This window comes from Homo sapiens, chromosome 3 (genome assembly GCF_000001405.40).
Source record: "Homo sapiens chromosome 3, GRCh38.p14 Primary Assembly".
Taxonomy (NCBI): domain Eukaryota; kingdom Metazoa; phylum Chordata; class Mammalia; order Primates; family Hominidae; genus Homo; species Homo sapiens.
The window spans coordinates 72,753,529-72,776,490 of NC_000003.12; the positions used below are offsets into that span (position 1 = coordinate 72,753,529).

A 22,962-nucleotide genomic window follows, 5' to 3' on the forward strand; every position below is an offset into this window, starting at 1 on the left:
ACTGCAGTGTCCAAGGGTGAGCGGGAGGCACAGTGCGGTGAGTGGGACAAGGGCAGTCACCATCGTTGATGGGTAGCTTTCTCTTAGCCCTGGGTTTCAGTGCCAGAACTTCCAGAGCGCTTAGAGAAAGGGAGGGGTTTAGGGTAAAGAGGAAAACCAAGGTGAGATCCACTAGAGTCAGTTAATGATTCACCAAAGCATTATAACCCCTGGCTAATCTTTTATCAGTCTGAGGCATTTTTAAAAGCATAGCTATGGAATATGACGGCTGCAACATAATTTGCATTTATACCCAAGACAGTTGTAGATAATGTCCACCATATATTTTGAAACCTTGACTACCAGTGGTAAAGGATTCAGTCTGAGCTGCTGCAAAGTTCAGTCAAAGAACTAGTACACCACTCTGTTTCTCCATGAAGGGGAGTTCTCTCTGGGTAGTGACACACAACTTAAGAAATAAAGAGTAATAAATTTGGGAAAGTGGATACTGCCTCTAACTCTAATACTAGAAATAAAAAATATAAAATAAAAGCTTTTACTTTACTGACTATATATCTCATTTTAATTGTCATGACAAATACTTCTCAACAATATACAAAGGATGATGCTCCACTAACATCACTGCACTTGCTCCATTAACCACCTTGTGAATCAGTGCCATTGTTATCCCTACATTACAGATGAGGGAACTAGAGCTTGCAGGGGTAGGAGAGCCGCTGAGGTTCACTCAGCCAACAAGGGGCGGTCACGACTGGAAACCCAAGCCTCAAAACTCCAGCCCTCTTCCCGTTCCACCAAAGGGCCTCCCATGAATATACAGGCTCTGCAAAGTGTTCTTCTCTTCTTTTTCTTCTTCTTTTTTTTTTTTTTGAGATGGATTTTCACTCTCGTTGCCCAGGCTGGAGTGCAACAGCACGATCTCGGCTCACCACAACCTTCACTTCCTGGGTTCAAGAGATTCTCCTGCCTCCGCCTCCCGAGTAGCTGGAATTACAGACATGAGCCACCATGCCCGACTAATTTTATATTTTTAGTAGAGACAGGGTTTTTCCATGTTGGTCAGGCTGGTCTTGAACTCCCGACCTCAGGTGATCTGCCCGCCTAGGCCTTCCAAAGTGCTGGGATTACAGGCATGAGCCACTGCACCTGGCCAAAGTGTCCTTTCTTAAGGCCACATTCTTTACTTCTTCCTAACTTGAGCTCCACTCAGCATCTTCCAACTGAGCAAGTTCTGACTTGCACAAAGCCCAGAATCCTCCAAAGGAACTGTGACTAATATATTTAGCTTAACAATGTTAAATGAAGTATACATATAAGCATCATCTATGGAGGTTTAGAAAACAAGGGTAAAATTTGAATCATTTTTGTGAATATTGCTGAATATATTAAACATGCCAATTCTCAAGTTGATATTATTTGGATCTTTGTTATTGTCTACTATACAGATATTGTGTCCTGTCTTTTATAACAGTAGAAATGTGGAATTCCAAAGCTCCTCCCCTAGAATCCTGGCTCTTCTCAGAAAGCATACCCCACACACAGGGGGACTGAAAGTAACAAGTGTAACAGGCAGAAAAGTGGTGAAGCTGAGTCCAGGGGCCCAAACAGGAACTCCTGCCTGTAACCAGCTGATGCGAACTTTTATCCTTCAGGAAAAAGTTTTTCACTTTCGGCATTATATTATGTTTAAAATTACCAGGTTATACAATAAGTTGATGGATGGATGGATGGATGGATAGATGGATAGATGGATGGATGGATGGATGGATGGATAGATGGATGGATGATAGATAGATAGACAGATAAATTGATTTTTGATCCTTTGCCAAGCTTCATTTCTATTTTATTATCCCACCTTTAATACCTCAAGCTGGCTAGCTTCCTAAATTAATACTAAAGTTCTGAAAGAAACTTTAATAAAAGAAACATTCTGAACTCTCTCCCATTCTTAAAGAATGCTAGGATAAAAACTGATTAAAATTTCAAAATAGCATTGGTGTAGAATGTGCCCCAGTAGTCTGAGGAATTAAAGTTGGGTTTGTTTTTATTCAATTACTTAGCACAGATAACCTAGCAATCACTGTTCACAAAAAGGGAAATTATTCCTGTAGGGAAAAAAAATTAAGCCATGAAAGAGTAGCTGTTTTGTTTTTTTCAACCACTAGTACAATTAGAGTTGGTTCTAATCTGCCACTCCTTGTCAATTACACAATCTACTTTTGTAACAGACTTACCTTTTCAGAAAGCAGCTCACTTAAGGTAGGTAGTAGTTTTTCTCTGTCGTACTCAAAACTGACTAGGCTAGTTCATGTCCAAAAGCTTGGTCAAATGGCATTATTAGATAACCACTCTTACAAACATCAGGTACTATTTATTTCTTTATTTAGAGACAGGTTCTCGCTTTATTGCCTGGGCTCTGGAGTGCAGTGGTGCAATCAGCGCTCCCTGTAGCTTTGACCTCCTGGGCAAAAGTGATCCTCCCACCTCAGCCTCCTGAGTAGCTGGGACTACAGGCACATGCCACCACACCCAGCTAATTTTTATATTTTTTGTAAAGACAGGTTCTCCCTATGTTGCCCAGGCTGGTCTCCAACTCCTGGGCTCAAGTGATCCTCCCACCTTGGCTTTCCCAGAGTTCTGTGATTACAGGCATGAGCGGCAGCCCTGGGCATGGTACATTTTGATACTCTCAACAAACACATAGGCTGAGTTACTAGTTATAGTATATGTTTTTTGTTTGTCTGGTTAGGTTTTTCTTGAGACAGACTCTCACTCTGCCTTCCAGTCTGGAGTGTGGAGTGCAGTGGAGCGATCTCAGCTCACTGCAACCTCCACCTCCCTGGTTCAAGTGATTCTCCTGCATCAGCCTCCCGAGTAGCTGGGATTACAGGCATGCGCCACCACGCCCGGCTAATTTTTGTTATTTTTAGTAGAGATGGGGTTTTGCCATGTTGGCCAGGCTGGTCTCAAACTCCTGACCTCACAGTGATCCACCCACCTTGGTCTCTCAAAGTGCTGGGGATTACAGGAGTAAGCCACCATGCCTGGCTAGTTACATGTTTTATATCTAAGTGAGGATCACCTACCTGTTAAGAATATATTTATTATAGAATGAAGAGACGCTGCATTTAAAAGAGACAATTGGATACCACTGCTGTCATATTTTAATAAAACCACACTCAAAATAGATTTTTCTTAGAAAGTTACTGGAAATGTAATCCTACAATGTAACTTAAAAAAGACCTTTCATTCTTTCTGCATATGTGAAATAATATCCTATTTGGAGAATTTCTCTTTAAAGACTGCAGACAAGTTATGCTACATGTAACTACCACGAAAGAGTAATTGCAACAGCAGAAAGTACTTGCCTTTACTATGGCTAAGCTGATACAAAATTTCCTCAATTATTTTACATTTGGTGACTGTAGGAGGGGGAAAGCCTCCGCAGCCTTATGAAGCAACCAAAACAAAATGCAAAAGGAGCCTGAAATGTAGGGGCAGGGGGAACTGGGTATAAATGGAAAGCATACATCCTGTTTTTTTGCTGTAGAGTTTTGTCTCAAACTATCAATCAACTTTTCACCACTTCCTGCAATAGCAGGTCTACTATAAATCTCAGAGTAACCGACTAGGTTTCATTTCCTCTGCCCAAACCTAGAAGCCTGCCAGGCATGACATACTGAGACTAGAGCCCACAATTGATCACAGAGGACAAGACTCCAGTGAGGCAATTCCAGACAGTTCAAACTGGATGCTTACTGGCTAACTCGGCCTTTTAATTTCATAGCATACAAAACACACAATCTCAGGTTCTATCTGGGACCAAACAGTAGATCAAATTTCTTCTCTTTCCTTTTTTTTTTTTTTTTTTGAAAGATGGGGTCTCACTGCATTGCCCAGGCTGGAGACCAGTAGTCAAAGGAGCAGTAATACCACAATACAATGTTGAACTACTGGCCTCAGCAGCCCTCCTGCCTCAGCTTCCCAAGTAGGTGGAACTACGGGTACGTGCCACTGAGCCCGGCTTCAACTTTCTGAAGGGCATTTACTGCACATCAATGGTAGACTGGATAAAGAAAATGTGGTACATATACACCATGGAATACCATGCAGCCATAAAAGGAACAGGATCATGTCCTTTGTAGCAACATGGATGGAGCTGGAGGCCATTTTCCTTAGCAAACTAATGCAGGAACAGAAAACCAATTACCGCATGTTGTCACTTGTAAGTGGGAGCTAAATGATAAGAACACATGGACACATAGAGGGGAACAACACACACCAGGGCCTATCAGAGGGTGGAGGATAGGTAGAGGGAGATGATCAGGAAAAACAACTAATAAGTACTAGGCTTAATACCTGGGTGGTGAAAATAATCTGTACATCAAACTCCCATGACACAAGTTTACCTATATAACAAACCTGCACGTGTCCCTGAACTTAAAAGTTAAATTTTTTTAAAAGGGCTTTTATGATAATGACATATCATAATTCCTCTCTATTGAAAAGAACCAGTTCCATACTTTAGGTTCCTTGGCCCAAAACACATGTATGTAGCCTGATCTAAAGGTAATGCACTGGCTTTAAGTAGAAGTTGCTGGTGAAATTCCTATCTTGAATCTGAGAGCCGCCAAGAAAAACAAATACCAATGGATGCACAGAGGAACCTGAAGCTGTCTCTTCTTATTCTATAACAGTGAGAAGCACTTCCAGCGCAGCCATTAACAAAAACATTCAATCTCTAAGAACAAGAAACGACTAACTTAACACAAGGAAGGCTGCAAGCTAAAGAGTTATTTAAACCATATCTAGTTTGGGCCAATAACACAACTTCTCATACAAATTTCAACTGGTTTTTATGCCATTTCGTGGGCATAGGCTCTGAGAAACATCATCTAGTCCATGGATCAGCAGAATCATTTTCTGAAAACTCCCTGTATTAGTTTCCTAAGGCTGCCATAACAAACCACCAAAAACTGGTAGCAGAAAACAAAATATATAAATTTATTTTTCACAGCTCCTGAGGCTACTATTTTTTCTTTTTTTTTTTTTTTTTTCCGAGATGGAGTCTCATTCTATTGCCCAAGCTGGAATGCAATGGCACGATCTCGGCTCACTGCAACCTCCACCTCCTGGGTTCAAGCAGTTCTCCTGCCTCAGCCTCCTGAGTAGCTGGGATTACAGGCACTCACCACCACGCCCGGCTAATTTTTGTATTTTGGTAGAGACAGGGTTTCACCATGTTGGCCAGGCTGGTCTCAAACTCCTGACCTCATGATCTGCCTGCCTTGGCCTTCCAAAGAGCTGGGATTACAGGCGTGAGCCACCGCACCTGGCCAAGGCTACTATTAATAGTCCAGAATTAAGGAGTCAGCAGGTTTGGCTCCTTCTCAGGGCAGAATCCCTTCCATGCCCTTCTCTTAGCTTTTGGTGTTGCTGGCAATCCTTGGAGTTCCTTGGCTTGTAAATGCATCACTCCAAGCTCTGCCTCTGTTGTTCAGGGTGTTCTCCCTATGTGTTTGTGACTTCACATGGCCATCTTCACTCTGTTTGTGTCTTAGTGTCTCTTCTTTTCTTATGAGGTTACCAGTTATGGTGGATTAAAGGCCCACCCTACTCTAGCATGACCTCATCTTAACTAATTACATATGCAATGACTCTATTTCTAAATAAGGTCACATTGTGAGGTTCTGCAAGGACATGAAGTTTGGAGGGACATCACAGGGCATCACTATAACACAGTACACCCTGTAGAGCTGAAATCAATAGTGGAGATGCTCATTAATAGAGGATAATAGACCAGAAAAAAGTAAATCAACTTAAAATGGAGACCAAAATTTAATAGTAAATAATGATGATAAGGTTAAAACTTCACCTTGAGGCTGGAGGCAGCAGCTCACACCTGTAATCCCAGCACTTTGGGAGGCCAAGGTGGGCGGATCACTTGAGGTCAGGAGTTCGAGACCAGCCTGGCCAACATGGGGAAATCCTGTCTCTACTAAAAATATAAAAATTAGCCGGGTGTGGTAGCAGGTGCCTGTAATCCCAGCTACTCAGGAGGCTGAGGCAGGAGAATCACTTGTACCTGGGAGGCGGAGGTTGTAGTGAGCAGAGACTGCAGCACTACACTCCAGCCTCAGCAACAGAGGGAGACTCTTGTGTCAAAAAAACAACAACAAAAACCAAATACTTCACCTTGAAACAAAACTACAAACTACAAAAATAAATTGATGAAATATTTAACAATGTTAACAATATGTAGGTTAAAACTGCAACCATGTACTAATTCTCAAAAACAGCAAAGAATGAACCAAATATTAATTGTATTTGTAATTGTTCTAACAAAATTATATTACAGCACCATCTAACATTCATCACTTCATGTTGGTCTTTTTGTAGCAGAATCAGAGAAGGTAATTCTTACAGAAAAAAATCAAGGGTATCATCAGTTTCCTCAAGGGCCTCTCAATCATGTGATGCTCAAATCAATCTTTTAATCAATCCTTTAATATTCAAAATAAGGACTTTCCACTAATTTCACTATTATTGTAGAGTTTTCTTCTTCAATTGTTTACTATGGTGAGTGGTTCCATGTGGTTCAAGCACATCCCCCATATCACTTCCAATGTTTTCGTGAAATCCTTGATCTTTTGGTTGACTTGCAATTTATTTGCACTGTACAATATCAATGATCAACAGTAAGTCAAACAATAAAAATACTGGCAAGATGGATGGGAAAGATGCTGGGAAGGAAATGATATACTAGAATGTGGATGAAATTTATTAAGAGGCTTGCTCATTAGTGAATTTTTGTGAGGTTTGACTACCATCGCGTTTCTTTGTAACTTTCTAAGTGCAGAAACTCAATGAATATTCAGAAAGGACTTCCTGCATGACACATATAAGTGGCTATGCTAGAGAGATCCACTGAAATTTCATTCTTTAAGGGAGCACAGAAGTCATCTACTCCAATTCTTCCACTTTATAAACGTAGTTGACATGACTGGGTACTTTGATGCAGCTTGAAAGTTTGTGTGACTTAAACTGGAAGAGTTGCTACAAGATATTAATCCCAAAGTTCCAAGCTTAAAGGGCTCTTCTCTCTCATCTGCTCTCTTTCAACTGCTTACAGGGTAGTTGTTATGAGAGTAATATAAATTATTTAATCTTTGAAAATGACTGTTGAAAACTTCAATGCTACTTAATTCCTATGGAGAAGTCAGCTTGACTGTGATGTACTAAGCTTAGGAAAAATACAATGTGGAGCTAGAAAATAATCAGTATCAAATCATTCCTTAAGGAAATGACAGTGACCACTTTCCAAAAGTCCCTGGCAGAAAATAACTCTGTCTTCTTGAAATATTACAAAATATATCAAGGTTTTAAAAATCACAAAATAGACCTTCATATCCTTTTATGAAAAGCCAATTGTAGGTTTCTTATAATTAGATCGATAAAAGCTCTCAAGACGATTCCAACGATTCAACAACTATGCCACTTTTCAAAAAAGTTTATGAGCTCTAGTCCTTAGTGCTTTAGTAGAGAATACAAATATTCATGAACGCATTAATATATATCTGACACAGACTACAGATCCCAAGAAGGTGGGGGAAATAAAATTTTTATTTTTACTTATTTTTAAAATTTTTTTTATTCTTTTAGAGATGGAGTCTTGTTCCATCGCCCAGGCTGGAGTGCAGTGGCTCAATCACAGCTCACTGCAGCCTCAACCTACTGTGTTCAAGCAATCCTCCCACTTCAGCCTACCAAGTAGCCAGGATTAGAAGCACACACCACCACGCCTGGCTAATTTATAAATTTTTTGTAGTGACAGCGTCTTGCTACATTGTCCAGGCTTGTCTCAAACTCCTGGGCTCAAGCGACCCTCCTGCCCCAGCCTCCCAAAGAGCTGAGATTATAGGCATAAGCTACTGCGCCGGGCCAAGGAATAAAATTTTTAGATGTATTTGAATAATATAGTCAAATCACTATGGCAAACAGCAATAATAAAGACTCAACCACCTCTTGGATGCTATGCAAAAGGACAAAGGTTCCTTGACAGTATCCGTTAATACAAAAGGCTTGCACTTCCTGTGCAGTAACTCTGTGCAGGCTTTCTAAGTATTTCACATGGTAAACTCATGAAGTACTTACAGCAACCCTGTGAGATAGGTACTATTATTATCCCTACTGGTAAAATAAGAAAATAATGTGGCACCTTCTTTGAGCCATGGAGGACCAAAGATGTCATATTATCACAGAAAGACAACTCTAAAGACCTCAAGTAGAACACTTCTTACTTTTTATGTTAATTATGTGTGAACTCACATACAGTTTCCCCTGGTTCACAATTATATAGAGAGTCATTTACTTTAATCGTCAAACGATAAACAGGTGGGCTACATGTTTAAAAAGTCCTCCATCAGAATGACTCTCGCACAGAAGGGGTGAAAGCAGGGGAGCTAAAGGCAAGGAGACAGGCTCTAGCTCCAGCAGTTTTTTTGAGGACAGTCTGCACATAAACATGTACATACATACATGTGCCCACAAACATGTACATACATACATGTGCACACACATGCCTATACATACATCTGCCCACACACATTAGTACACACATACACACACATCCATTTTTTGAGAAAAATAAATGACTTAGAAAAAAACACTCGCTATGGCAACGCTAAATGCTGAAAAGAATGGCTCTCATAAGGTTTATCCAAATGCAGAGAAGCCACCATTTGGCTCAACCCCAACCTCCACTTAAGAAATTCAAGGGTGAGGGTGACAAATAGGTTAAGAAAGGTACAATGTCCATAAAGAACTGTGTGAAAGAAATGCAGTTCACCCCAGCTTTGCAACTGTTTTACATTTTTGCCAGGCCAGATCAAATTCACAGAGATGGAAATGTGGGTCTCATAAATTTGCCACATTTCTCTCTACTCCCTAGCAGAAATGCTATTGCTGAAATGTGCTTCGCTGTGATCCCAAAAGCTGATTTAAATAACAGTCCCATGAACCTCTTGGAATTGTATACCTCACTTGAATTGTGTACCTCGCAAGGTCTCCCGTTCCATACGGGCTGCTGGTGAATTCAAATCTGTGACTCACTCAACATGACAGAATGTACCTGCAGCTCCTTCTTGCCTCCAGTTTTTTTTCTTGAGACAGAGTCTCGCTCTGTCACCCAGGCTGGAGTGCAGTGGCGTAATCTTGGCTCACTGCAACCTCTGCCTCCTAGGTTAGAGCAATTCTCCTGCCTCAGCCTCCCGAATAATGGGGATTACAGGCACGCACCACCACGCCTGGCTAATTTTTGTATTTTTAGTAGAGACAGGGTTTCACCATGTTGGCCAGGCTGCTCTTGAACCCCTTACCTCCGGTGATCCATCTGCCTCAGCCTCCCAAAGTGCTGGGATGAGCCACCAAGCCCGGCCTGTTTCTACTTTTAATTTTCTTCTTTTACCTTCACCTTTATTATGCCATCTTGTTTTACACACACACACACACACACACACACACACACACACACACAGAGAGAGAGAGAGAGAGAGAGAGAAATGCTTTAAATAATTTCTAGTACAAGGCAGAGAATAAATTATTAATGAAACCAATTATCTGGTTAAGTAAAAAACACCTTTGTAGGATAGGAAAGGACAGAAGAAATGGGGACTGCAAGTCGCAGGCTGAAGCAGAGCTCTCCAATCCATTTTCTTCTCTATGACTATTCCATGAAGCATGGTATTTGGGCACATAAGACTTGAACAATTCTGACAACATTCCTACATTTCATCTGTGTGAAAAAAGGGCAAATAGTGTTGTTTAATGATGTAGATTTTGACCTGTTAACTGTCCAAATGAAACGGCTGTTTGGATTCAATTCAACTAAGTGGAGGTCAGCCAACTAAATGGAGAAGGTATCACTATAAAGTTGGTGGTAGAAGGAAGATACTATGGGTTGAACTGTGTCCCTGACAAAGATGTGTTGATGTCCTAAGCCCTGGAAGCTGTGAATGTCACCTGTTTTGGAAACAGGGTCTTTGCAGATGTAATCAAGATTAGGTCACACCGGATTAGGGAAGGACCTCAGTCCACCAACTGGTGTCCTTATAAAAAACACAATGTAAAGACACAGGGACACAGAGAATGCCATGTGAAGACAGAGGCAGAGATTGGTGTGATGTGTTCATATGCCAGGGGATGTCTAGGGTTGCCAGCACTGCTGAAGCCAGCAGAGAGGCACGGAACAGATTCTCCTGCAGAGTTCACAGGAGGAACCAACCCAAATGACACCTTGATTTTGGAATTCTAGCCTCTAGGAATGCAAGGAATAAAGGTCTGTGGTTTTAAGCCACCCAGTCTGTGGTAATTTGTTACAGCAGCCTTAGGAAATGAATATAGAAGAACATCAGTGATGAAGATCCTTACAGCAGAACAGAAATTAGAAAGCATTGCATAGTATGTTCCTGAGTTTACAAATGGAAAAAAAAAAAAGACACCACTAAAAATAGCAACAGCAAGGCACAGAAAAGTTTTCTTTGCGTAATAACATGAGGGGAATAGATTAGTTTGTTTCTAATTCCCCTCCAAGCCCAAAATGCTATGCTTTTACACTATGATCACAATGTACCCCTGTTACAAACCCTACCCAGTGCCCACATACCACACTAGGCAGAACCACTTACTTACAAGTAGAAGAGGTGGAGTGCAGTGGCGCAATCACAGCTGATGGCAGCCTAGAACTCCTAGGCTCAAGCGATCCTCCCGCCTTGGCCTTCCAGAGTGCTAGATTATTTGCATGAGCCACGGTGCCCAGACTACTAAGGTTTGAAGTATTCAACGACTGCCTCAGGAAACATGGGATCTGAAAGCCAGACTTGACAACAGTTCTGACAAGTGGTCGTCTATAGAAAATCAAACTTGGGAAAGTGTATTTTATGCTTGCTTATACTCTCAAAAACTAAACCGAAGTGAAAAGCATCTGTCTACCAGAATACCCTTAAATGACAGCCCCTAGACTATCTAAGGAGAATTTTAAAATACTTTTAATAAAGGCAATTGACTTCAATGGCTAATATTTAGTTTCTTTCTTTGATAAAGCCTTGCTTCTGAAAGCATAACCCTGGACCAGGAGCAGCAGCATCATCTTGGAACTTCTTAGAAATGCAGAATCTCAGCCCCCAACCCAGGTCTCTGAACAGGAGTCTTTTTAACAAGACTCCCAGGTAATACATATGCACCATGATGTTTGGAACACCCCAAAGAGTTCTGACTATGTTGAAGTCATCATTACCAGCTGACACTTTTCATTCACTCTCAATATTGTGGATTCTTGGATCTGATCAAACAGTGGGATGGGAATGGTGGGAGGTTCCCCCTGTTCCTGGGTCAACTGTTGTGGTGAGGCATTGCTGACTTCACACATTGTGTACAGGGCAGCCTGACTCTGTCCCATCCCTCTTACACCCAGAGCATGAGGATGAATCTCCACCTTGCATTTACTCACCAATCTTGGCTTTAAGTAAAAAGATGCATGGGGCCCTACTCTAATGGTTCCATTGCTCAAGAGTTCTTTCCTTAGCCCCCCTTCTAGGTCAGACTGGTCCTGAGGCCCAGACTCAGAAACATTTTATCTCAAAACCCTGACTCTGCAAAGCTGGGCTTTCTGCCCATTAGCTGCCTTCTTGTACAAGATCTTCAACTTTCACAGGGACCTTGCCTGAAGTTACGGTCCACATGCCTGCCCCTGAACCCATTTCTGTCCATTCAGATGCCACCACTTGCCTGTCTCCTCAGACCTCTACCTGTTACTTCCTTCTATGGCACTAGCCTCCCAAGAGTAGCTCTACCTCCAGACTGCACTGAAACAGTGCATCAGGGCTGCATTTTTCACTGATTCATTTTTTTTTTTTTTTAAAGACAGTTTCCTTCTGTCGCCCAGGCTGGAATGCAGTGGCACGATCTCAGCACACTGCAACCTCTGCCTCCCAGATTCACATGACATATATATATATATATATATATATATATTTTTTTTTTTTTTTTGAGACAGTCTCACTCTGTCACCCAGGCTGGCGTGCAGTGGTGCAATCTCGGCTCACTGCAACCTCCGCCTCCCAGATTCAAGCAGTTCTTGTGCCCCAGCCTCCTGAGTGGCTGGGATTACAGGCACGTGCCACTACACCCAGCTAATTTTTGTATTTTAGTAGAGACGGGGTTTCGCCATGTTGGCCAGGTTGGTCTCGAACTCCTGACCTCAGGTGATCTGCCTGCCTTGGCCTCCCAAAGTTCTAGGATTACAGGCATGAGCCACTGTGCCTGGCCAAATAAATACTTGAAAGTACTATGTGTTCAAGCCCCGAACAAAACAGACCAATTCCTGTGCTCATGGAGCTTATATTCTTGTGTAAGAAAAGATAATAAATACTAAAATAATAACAGATCATAAAAAGTAAGTAAAATATAGTGTGCTAGATGATATAAGTGCCATGAAAAAACAACACAGAACTCAAAAGGTAGCCAGGGTGCACTTGGGCCAGGGGGTGTTCAATTTTTTGTGAGTATTTAGGGAAGGCCTCACTGAAAGGTGACCTTGGGGACCCTATACATCACTGAACAGCCTAAACTGTGGGACCTAGCTTATTCCTGTTTTCAGCTATTCCACCTCTTCTCAGCTTGAACCTCCAGTCTATCAAGCTTAGTGTAAGACACTCACAACAATCCCCTGCTCCCAGTTCTACAAGCCATCTGGATGCCGATTCTGACATAGCTAATTGCTAGTCTCCAGATCATGTATCCATCTCTAAACCATAGTTCTTGTACCATCCATCCACCTCTGTGGGCCAACCTGCACCTCCAAACCCTCATCTGCTGCCCAAGTTCATACTACACCACTGCTGCCTGAGCCCGACCCTGAACCTAAGCTGTCCCATGTACACAGAAAATGACCACAGGTCATCTTGTTCTTGAAAAGTAAGACATAGAGGTTTAATAAAAGAGAAGGAAAATTCTGTCCAAGTCAGAATTTTATGTAAACAAGATAAAACTATTTGAGGGCTCAGGAATGTGTCATTCTACAACTTACCTCTTCTAAGAAACTCACTGGAGAAGGTATCACAGGAAGGGCTCATGCCTCAGACACCAGGCAAACAAGGAGGAAAGATTTCAGCACATCCAAGCCCCTGGTGCAGGTCTGCCGGTGAAGGGAGGGGGGAACTGAAAGCACAGGCCTCTTTTAAGGACTTCATGAGCCATTTTATTGAAGTCTAATCAATCCCCAGCTGGAGGAAACCTGCTAGATAACTGAGTCCAGGTTGTCCAGCGGGCTTCACATAATGATGGAAACGTGCTGTCCAATATGGGCCACTAACCCCATGTGGCTGTCGGGCATTCAGAATGTCAGCTTGACTGAAGAACTATACCTTAAATTGTATTTAATTTGAACTAATTTAAATGAAAATAGCCACATGTGGCAATGAATACCAAATCAGACCACACAGATCTAATCTAAAGCCCTAATTTGTTTGACAAAGATGAAGCCTAGAGACTTTAGCGGCATAGGTACACCACAGGGCTAGCCACAAACCCAAGCACTAATCCTCCACACGGCCATCAGACTTGAGGGCTTCCAAATTGCTTTCATATGTACGAACCCATCTGATCCTTTCATCAGAAACATAAGCAGGTTGAATTCTCCATATTCCACCAATGTTCAGAAGCAAAAACCTGCCCCATGCCAGAGGGTTCATCCCTGATTAGCCAGAGCTCCTCATGTGCAGACCCACTATGCACTATGCTGTGCTGGCTCACGCTCTGAAGCAGGGACACCATCTGGGTAACTAAAGAGTTGATTACCGACATACAAGTTGAACAAGATGCTGGAAGATGACATTTGCCAGCAGAACCACTGGAGAATCTGTCCTATATCACTGGGCCCAGTCCTTGACAAAACGTTTATGCAAATTAAGTCTCCTAGAATAGTTTTACGAGGTAGGGAGCTACAATTAATCTCATATATTCTATTATAGTGATCACAACCCTCAACAATTAGGACTCAACTAATTTGCTGGATACCTTTTTAAAATCCTACGTTCACTCTGTCCTCAAGACTTACTGGCAAAAACTCTTCTATAATTAGAACTGAAGAGTTGCCAACATGTCCCAATCAGACCCAAATTACTATCTACAAAAATTACTGATTACTAAAAATAAGAATGAAAAAGGGTCTCTGAGATACTACTTTACTAAATATAGGAATACACAGTACAACTTAATCCTCCATGGTTAGGTGGTTGCCAGAACCAAACCTGTTGGCTGCCTAGCATTTCATGTTCCTACAAGAACTGGATGCAAAAGCCTAATTATGGTTTGATTCAAACGATGCTATCAAAATGCTTCCTGCGTGGGGCGGGAGATATAAGTGCTTTGCTCCTTTCATTCCTTGTCAGGGAGTCTGGGTGGTTTTTTTTCTTGCAGCCACTTCATTCCACTGAGACAAATCCAGCCCTAGAAGGAGCAGTTTACAAAAAAGCAGGGAATGCTGTCAGCAGGGAGCACAGAGCTTGGCTGTGATCACAGCTGCAGATCCCACCTGCTTAAAAAGGCAGCAGCAATGATACAACTCTTCATTCCCTTGCTCAAAAACAGAAGAAATCAGCAGAGATAAGCCGACAGGGAAAACATTACACAAATCGCTGACCCTGCTGCAGGCAGAGAAGAGCTGCCTCTGCTAGCTTTGATTTTCCAAAGCCTGAGCCTGAGGGAGAGGCAGTTTGACTTTCTTCTTTCCTAGTGCTCCCGATGGCAAGGCACATTCAGATGGAGCCTGAGGAATACCAAGTGCAGAAGAAAGGGAAATAAATAAATAAACAAAACAAGAACACAGGCTAAACCGCGGAGAAGAGCTGCCATCAGCATCTAGGAAGAAAGATCATATCCCTAGTCGAAAGCAACTCGGTTTTACAGGTTTTTACTAAAACACACAGAGCGCAGAGCTGTGGCTGTGATCTTTGTGATTCTGTTGTCCTGCTGAGTGAGGCAAATAAGTATGTGCCATAAGCCTTACTTATGCATTTTCTATTCCTATTGTTTAGTACGTGTCCAAAGAAGAAAACAACAACAGGGCTGCTATCCATGTCAGTGAGAGGAGTTGGAAACAGAGCACTGCATGGCCAGCAGTTTTTTCCTCGACACAAACACAGATTGTTCTCTGCTTTATAAGCAGCCTATTTGCTGCTTAATGGTCATCCATAGTGTGCCTTTACAACAGCGTTCAACATGAGCCACCAGGTCAAATGCTGTGTGCCCCCAGTATGTTTTTCCCTAAGCATTCTAGAACCCCGCTGCAGCTTCCAAAATTGATTGCACTATAATACGGTCACTGCTGCCATCCAGGTGCCACATTTATTGAGTGGCCAGTATTTGCTGGGCATTTTGCTAGGACCCAGCTATACAGCAGTGCACAAGAAAAACATGGCTCCTGCTTGAATGGGACCTGCAGTTTGGCAGGAAAAAAGTGCAGGTCCTTTGATCAAGTAACAGAGCCCTTATACATTAGGCCAAGGCCACAAACTGCTGCCCCTAGAAGCCAAACAGATGGAGTCTAGCAGGCAGGTGGGGGTCTGTGGCAGAATGGAGAGCACTTGTCCCACATAATGGAGACAGCTGGCCCCAGCTCTAGCCAATTGTTACCATGTGGGGATGTGGGCCCAGCAACTGCCAGAACTTCCGTTATTTCAAGAGCAGCTATAAATCCAGACTTTTACACAAAATCTTCCAATTTTTAAGTGTTGACAACCAATTTAAAGTCTTTAAAAACTCACTGAGAGCCAAAAGTGACCCAAGGGTCACTAGCTTGCAACTTCTACGTCTGCAGACTTAGTTCCATCTCCCCAGTTCCCTAACATAGTCTGTATATCTCAATACGTACCTGCTACACTAATGTGACTGGTACCACTGCTTCCAGACCCAGAACAATTATTTTTACTTTGGGATTTGCCTCAAGTTGCATCCCTGCCTAGCACATCTTCCCCCTTTCTTTCTGTGCCTGGTCAGATCCCACCCATCTTTAGTTCCCTGTTCAAGACTTCTACTCCACTAGGCCTTGCAGACCAGCCTGGCCTCCTCTTCTTTGAATCACTATGTCTCTTGCAACGGGGCCAGGGTTTGCTCAGCAGTCCTCTAATTCTGCCCTCTGCAAATCTTGTCTTGTCTCTACAACCAGTCTAAATGCTCCATAACAGAGACCACATGGGCTACTTCACCAAGAAAATGTCCTGTGTTTATCAGGGGTCATGTGTTCTGAAGTCGGCAAACAACTGACTGACCACAGCAAGGAGGTTAAGAGCTCAGGCTCTGAAGTCACACAGCTCTGGGTTAACTTAATCTCTCTGAGCCTCAATTTCCCTAATTGTAACCTGGGGTGATAACAAAATGAGGACATAACCCAAATTCATATGGGGCTTGTGAGATCATCAAGAGAGATAATCTCTATAAAGCACTTAGCACAATGCCTGGTATGCAGTAAGCCCTTGATAAATGCTAGCTATTATTGTTATGGACTGATTGCCTGATTCAGCCAATGCTATTGTTAAACAAGCAGTGCATCAATGGAGCTTTGTTCTTAGCAAATATTATTGACCACTTACTCTGTGTTAACATGTTCTAAACAAATTGCATGTGTTAGCTCATCTAATTTTCCTAATTCTCCCCCATTTTATGGATAGCAGAAGCACAGAGAGTTTAAATGGCTTGTCCAAGGCCATACAGACAGAGAAGAGATCTGAAGCTGCCAGCTGGCTCCAGAGCCCATACTCTTAACCATAATACTCTATGGCCTCACTACATTTCTAATGACAGGGGACAGCTTTCTGACCTCAGCCTTCCCAAATCAGAAACAGGATTTGGCTTTGTGGACCATGGCTTAAGATGACAGAATGATCAGGGCCTGGTTTGAGCCAGACTACATCTCAGAAGTTCCAGGAAGGAGTTTGCTTTTGCCAGTTTCACCAAGGGCTGTCAGTTTGTTCAATAAACTAAGAATGATAAGGAAAGAAGAAAAATGCCCAGAAAGTACAAGATGATATCTAGTATTATAGAAGGCAAAAACTGTGATATAGATGAATACTAAAGACAAAGGTGTTCTGCTAATCACAGAATAAAAGAAGAGGGAATCAGAACAATACACCTAGCCTCGAATATCCACATAGAAGACAGGAAAGAGGCAAATGTGTCTTCCTTAACTTTTGAAAAGAAGGAGGAAAGTGATGAAACCATAGACCATGAACTCAAAATATGTGAACTGCATATAGGCAGATAAGAGACGAAGTAGGTGATCCCCAGAAGTTACTATGGATTCACAAACTGATGCCATCCCTTGGACTAGCCCGCACCTGGGAACCCTGTGCAAAGATTGTGTCTGGATTTTAACAAAACATATAACAATCTCCTGTAGTCTCTTTATGGGCAAAATACAGAGTATGAGTGTATGATTATACAGTTGTCTAGACTCATATTTGACCTTAGAGGTCAGACTGATTTCAACCTGAAGGAAGGTATCTAGTGGAAGAGTACAAAGTTCTGACCTCAGCCTTCCTCATTTTACATTCTACTCACTGTCTTAGGTGAAAACAGAGAATGCTCACTCTAATTCCTTAAGGCCAGAAGCCGTATCTAATTCTTCTTTAGTTCCACAGCGCCTAACCTTGTGCTTGCTCCAAAAAATGACTGCTCATTAGATTTCAAGAGTCAAGTTTATAAACAGTGTTACAAAGGTGACAAAGATCAGGAAATAACCTAGGTGACAGATTCCAGTTCCAAAAAGTTAGTAACAGGTGGATGGGATATGCCAAATCTAACAAGGTGAAACTAAACAGGGACAAATGCAAAGATTGTGAACTAGCTAGCAAAGAAGAGGAATTATACTTAAAGACGAATATGAAGAATTTCAGCTAGTCATAAACTAAGAATATAGTGAGTTAAGGTTTCCAGTGATAAGCAGATGACTGACAAAGTAATATTCACAAAAACCAAAAGCAATTGCTTCTCTCTGGTCAAACCTGAAGCATTTTATTTAAACTGGAGGATACTTTAAAAGGGTCTGGACCAAAAAATAAAGGGAGGGGTTGAGGGACACTGACAAAGTAGTCTGCCCAAAAAGAGACCAAGATGGACAAAGGTTGGAAATTTGGACCTATAAGAATAATTTAAGGCAGAAGAGGTTGATCGGGAAGACTGAGAAGGGATACAATAGTAATCCTCCAGATAGCTGAAGGCAGACATTTGAAAAGAGAACTTACTCTATATGGGTCCAGAATTGAAATTAACGTGAAGAAAGCAGATTTCAATCAGATTTAAAGGACAACTTTTAAGCCCTCTAGCCTGCTTAAGAGTAGGAGGGTTCTCATTTATAAGTGAATTTGCGGGTATCAGAGTCAGCCATGCCAAGACTAAGCAATCACACAGCAGCGACAGTGCAGGGGGAATTAATCCACAAAATAAAGGCTTACGAAAGAGAAGAGTTTGCAAGACTTTTCAGTTCTGTGACTGGCTGCATTACAGATAGTCATCATCAAGAGGAGTGATGTCAGTGTTAACTTTAAGCCTTACAATGCAGAGATGATTTAGTTGGGTTCGTCAGAAAAAGCTTAAAGCAAAATGTAACAAATATGGTAGAGAAAATGGAATGTGCCAAAGCGAAAAAAAAAAAAAGCTCCAGTTTATGGCAAATTTGGGAAATAGTGAGTTCATCTACTTGGCAGGAGAGGGAGGGTGCCTGATCAGCAAGAATGAGGGATTAAGCTTAGAAGATGAGGAGAAAGATGCAGACGGTGTGGAATCCAACTCAGCCCAGGCATTTAGGCTTTTGTCCTGCAGGCAAACCATCAAGAACTTCTGAGGAGACCAGTTCAAAGATGAGATTGTCAGATGTTCACTCATCTGGATCTTCAAATGCACATACAGATGCATCTGGACCCTCAGACAGTGATATGACAAGTCGTACACAACCTAAGCTTTAGAGCATGGGAAGATTGGGCAATTTATCCAGAACCATTTTTGATTAAACTAAAAAACATTTTCTTAGGACTTGCATATATTATTGTACAAAAGGAAACAGAAGATGTACTAGACAATCTTGATGGTGCTTCCATCAAGTAAGAGCTTGATGGTGCACCTCTGGAAGATGTAGATGGAATTCCTATTGATGCTACTCCCGTGGATGATCTTCATGGAATCCCTATAAAAAGTCCTGATGATGATCTTGATGGAGTGCCTTTGGATGCAACTGAAAACTCAGAGAAGAATGAGCCTATATCTAAAGTTGCCCCATCAAAATGGGAAGCTGTGGACAAATCTGAATTGGAAGCACAGGCTGTTACAACTTCTAAATGGGAGTTATTTGACCAGCATGAAGAATCGGAAGAAAAACAAAATCAAGAAGAAGAAAGTGAAGATGAAGAAGATACTCAAAGTTCCAAATCTGAAGAACATCATCTGTACTCTAATCCAATCAAAGAAGAAATGACTGAGTCCATGTTCTCTAAGTACTCGGAAATGAGTGAGGAAAAACAGGCCAAACTTCGTGAAATTGAGCTCAAAGTCATGAAGTTTCAGGATGAGTTGGAATTTTGGAAAAAGACATAAAAAACCAGTCCAGAGTTTTCAGGAGCAAGTAGAACACTACAGAGATAAACATCTTCAACGAGAGAAAGAGTTAGAAGGAGAATGAGAAAGAGACAAGAAAGAGAAAGGGACAAGAAAGATAAAGAAAAATTGGAATCTAGCTCCAAAGACAAGAAGGAAAAAAATGAGTATACTCCAACAAGGAAGGAAAGGAAAAGATGACACAGTACATCCCTCAGCCTATCTCACAGTAGCAGTGGTGGTAGATGAGTGAAATCCCCATCACCAAAATCGGAGTGATCAGAGTGTTCAGAAAGACCTCATAAAGACAGCTTAAAAAAAAAAAAAAGAAAAAAAAGAACTTCCACGAAGACAGCCATATCCAAAATGGCATTTCAGAACTGTCAGACTGGCACTACTATAGGAAAGAAACAAGATGGGGAGTGAGACTGTGGTGGCAAGGACAACAGGGAGGACACTGTGGCAAGAGAAGAGGAAATTAAGGCCTGAATTCAAAGAAAGGTGGTGAGACCAAAAAGAGGGATTTATATGAAAGGGATTGTATAGGAAGAATTAAAAAGATCTGCTGACTGAGTCAATGTGGAGTAGGGAATCAAAGACAGAAACACATGACTTACAGAACCCAAACATGTCAACCTGCATAACGACAAGACCAAAAACCCAAAAACATCTGAAGTCACAACTGGTTCCCAAATTACTGATTCATCACAGCTTTACATCATATGTTCAGAGCATATTTCTCACACATACAAAATGTAAGATTTTTGTAGTTAGGTTTGAATTTACTGGAAGCCAGTCATCAAAGGTTTATTGAAGAGATGTTCACAAAAATTAAATCCTCCGAGGACAAGAAGATATTCCAGGCCAATACTAATCAAAAGAAAGCTGGGATAGCCATATTACTATCAGACAAAATAGATGGTAAGGCAAAAAGCATTATTAGTGATACATTTTAACCTACCAAGAAGATATAACAATTATAAACTAATAACACCAAATAACATGCCTCAAAATATAAAGTAAAAACTGACAGGTCTACAGGAAGAAACTGACAAGACTGACAACATAGGAGATTTTCACACACCTCTTTCAATTCAAAACGGACAGATTAAATAGACAAAATATATCAGTAAAGATACAAAAAACAAACAGCCCAACCAACAAGTTTCATCCAATGCACAGACATGCAACACAGCAGCTAACAATTCGAAGATCAACATTACTTTTAAGAATAAAACCAAAAGTGTATGAAAACTGACACCATTCTAGACATAAAATTAATCTCAACAAATTTCTAAACAATGATATAATTCTCTGGCAGAAATGCAATTAAGTTAGAAATCAACAACAAAAACTTTTCTATAAAAATCCATATGCTTGGAAAGGAGAAAAATATTTCCAAAATTTCATGAGTAAAATCAGAAAATATGTGGAATGAAACAGTAATGAAAATTCAGTACATTTCCAAACCTGTGAGAAGAATATAAAGCATATATTTGAAAATTTAGTTTTACATGAAGAAAGAGTCAATGTTAGCAAGTTACTAACATCTACATGCAGAATCTAACAAACTTCCAAAATGTAGAAGAAATAAAATGATACAGATAAAAGCAAAAGTAATGAAATAGAAGACAGACAAAGAGAGGATCAAGAGCGTGAAATGGGCTGGGCACAGTGGCTCATGCCTGTAATCCCAGCACTTTGGGAGGCTGAGGCAGGTGGATCACCTGAAATAAGGAGTTCAAGACCAGCCTGACCATCATGGTGAAACCCCATCTCTACTAAAAATAGAAAAATTAGCTGGGCATGGTGGTGGGCACCTGTAATCCCAGCTACTCGGGAAGCTGAGACAGGAGAATCGCTTGAACCAGGGAAGCAGAGGTTGCAGTGAGCAGAGATCATGCCACTGCAGTCCAGCCTGGGCACCAGAATGAGACTCCGTCTCCAAAAATAAAAAATAAAATAAAATAATTTTTTAAAAATTAGCTAATCAAATATACCCTCTTACAAAAATAATTTAAAAACAAAAAAACAAAGAGAGAGACAGCATGATTATCAGAAATGTAAAAGACAACAATTACAGATGCTGTGGATAAAACAGATAAGAGCAAATAAAAACAACTCTATGCCAGAAAGTTTGAAAATTTAGAAGAAATGGACAAAGTTTTAGAAAAATAAAACCTATCAAAACTGACTCAGAGAAATAAAGAACCGGAATAGTCCTATAACAATTAGAAAATCTGAATAAATAGTTAAGAATTTTCCCATAAAGAAAGAAAGACACAATGGCTTTTTTTTTTTTTTTTTTGGTGAATGCTACTGAAGGTTCAAGGAATGTATCATTTCAATATTACGTGCACTGTTTCAGAGAACAGAAAAGGCAATGTTAAGTCATTTTATCAGGAAAGGACAGTACAATAATGGGAAATTATAGGCCAATTTCTCTTCCCATACATACCCTCTTCCTGATTGTAGGCACCCACAGAGTTTGCAAGCCAAATCCAGCATCATGTTTAAATAATACATCATAATCAAGATAGGTTTATCCCAGGAATGCAAGGCCGAATTTGTTCGAAATTTTACACATGCCATTCATTACATTAACAAATTAAAGGAAAAAATTTTTAAGATCATCCCAAGGATGAGGAAAAAATGCAATAAAATTCAAAACTATTTAGAATAAAAAACTCCATGCAAAATAAGAATAACATGAATCTTTCTTGATAAAGCCTATCTACAAAAGCAAATATCATATTTAATGATAAAATGTTGAAAGCATTTTCTTAAAGATAAAGAATAAGATAAATATATTACCACCATATCTATTCGGGATTGTACTGAAGGGCCTAGGCCAGTGCAATAAAATGAAAAAGAAAAAGAAATGAAGAATATAAAGACTGAAAAGGAAGAAACCAAACTGTCATTACTTGCATTACTACTGCCTATATAGAAAACTGGACAGAAATGATACATAAGAGTTAATAGTAGAGTCTGACAACGTAGCTGGATATGAAATCAATTTTTAAAAGTGAATTACATTTCTATACACATTAATGTGCCACATAACAACGTTGTGGTCAATGATGAACTACATATGGTGGTCCCATAAGAGTATAATACTCTGATTTTACTGTACCTTTTCCATATTTAGATATGTTGAGATATACAAATACCACTGTGTTACAACTGTCTACAGTATTCAGGATGGTCACATGCTGTACAGGTTTGTAGCCTAGAAGCAATAGGCTACACCATAGAGCCTAGGTGTGTAGTAGGCTATGCCATCTAGGTTTGTGTAAGTGCAATCTATGATGCTCACAC

The 22,962-nt window shown here is 40.8% G+C and overlaps 1 protein-coding gene and 1 pseudogene across 2 annotated transcripts in view, besides 3 other annotated features; one reads left to right on the top strand and one right to left on the bottom strand.

The window, feature by feature from the left end:
- SHQ1 (SHQ1, H/ACA ribonucleoprotein assembly factor) overlaps positions 1-22,962 on the bottom strand; it is a 123,174-nt gene that overhangs the window by 28,257 nt on the left and 71,955 nt on the right. The gene's annotated exons all lie outside the window — the stretch shown is intronic.
- Positions 13,037-13,862: an enhancer, noted in NCBI's record as "OCT4-NANOG-H3K4me1 hESC enhancer chr3:72815716-72816541 (GRCh37/hg19 assembly coordinates)". NCBI's record gives its function as "activates a minimal SCP1, AML or CMV promoter by ChIP-STARR-seq in naive and primed H9 embryonic stem cells {active_cell/tissue: H9 hESC(naive and primed)}" and the evidence as "EXISTENCE:reporter gene assay evidence [ECO:0000049][PMID:30033119]".
- Positions 14,205-14,771: an enhancer, noted in NCBI's record as "OCT4-NANOG-H3K27ac hESC enhancer chr3:72816884-72817450 (GRCh37/hg19 assembly coordinates)". NCBI's record gives its function as "activates a minimal SCP1, AML or CMV promoter by ChIP-STARR-seq in primed H9 embryonic stem cells {active_cell/tissue: H9 hESC(primed)}" and the evidence as "EXISTENCE:reporter gene assay evidence [ECO:0000049][PMID:30033119]".
- Positions 16,306-16,877: an enhancer, noted in NCBI's record as "NANOG hESC enhancer chr3:72818985-72819556 (GRCh37/hg19 assembly coordinates)". NCBI's record gives its function as "activates a minimal SCP1, AML or CMV promoter by ChIP-STARR-seq in naive H9 embryonic stem cells {active_cell/tissue: H9 hESC(naive)}" and the evidence as "EXISTENCE:reporter gene assay evidence [ECO:0000049][PMID:30033119]".
- Positions 18,807-20,067, top strand: U2SURPP1 (U2SURP pseudogene 1; annotated as a pseudogene).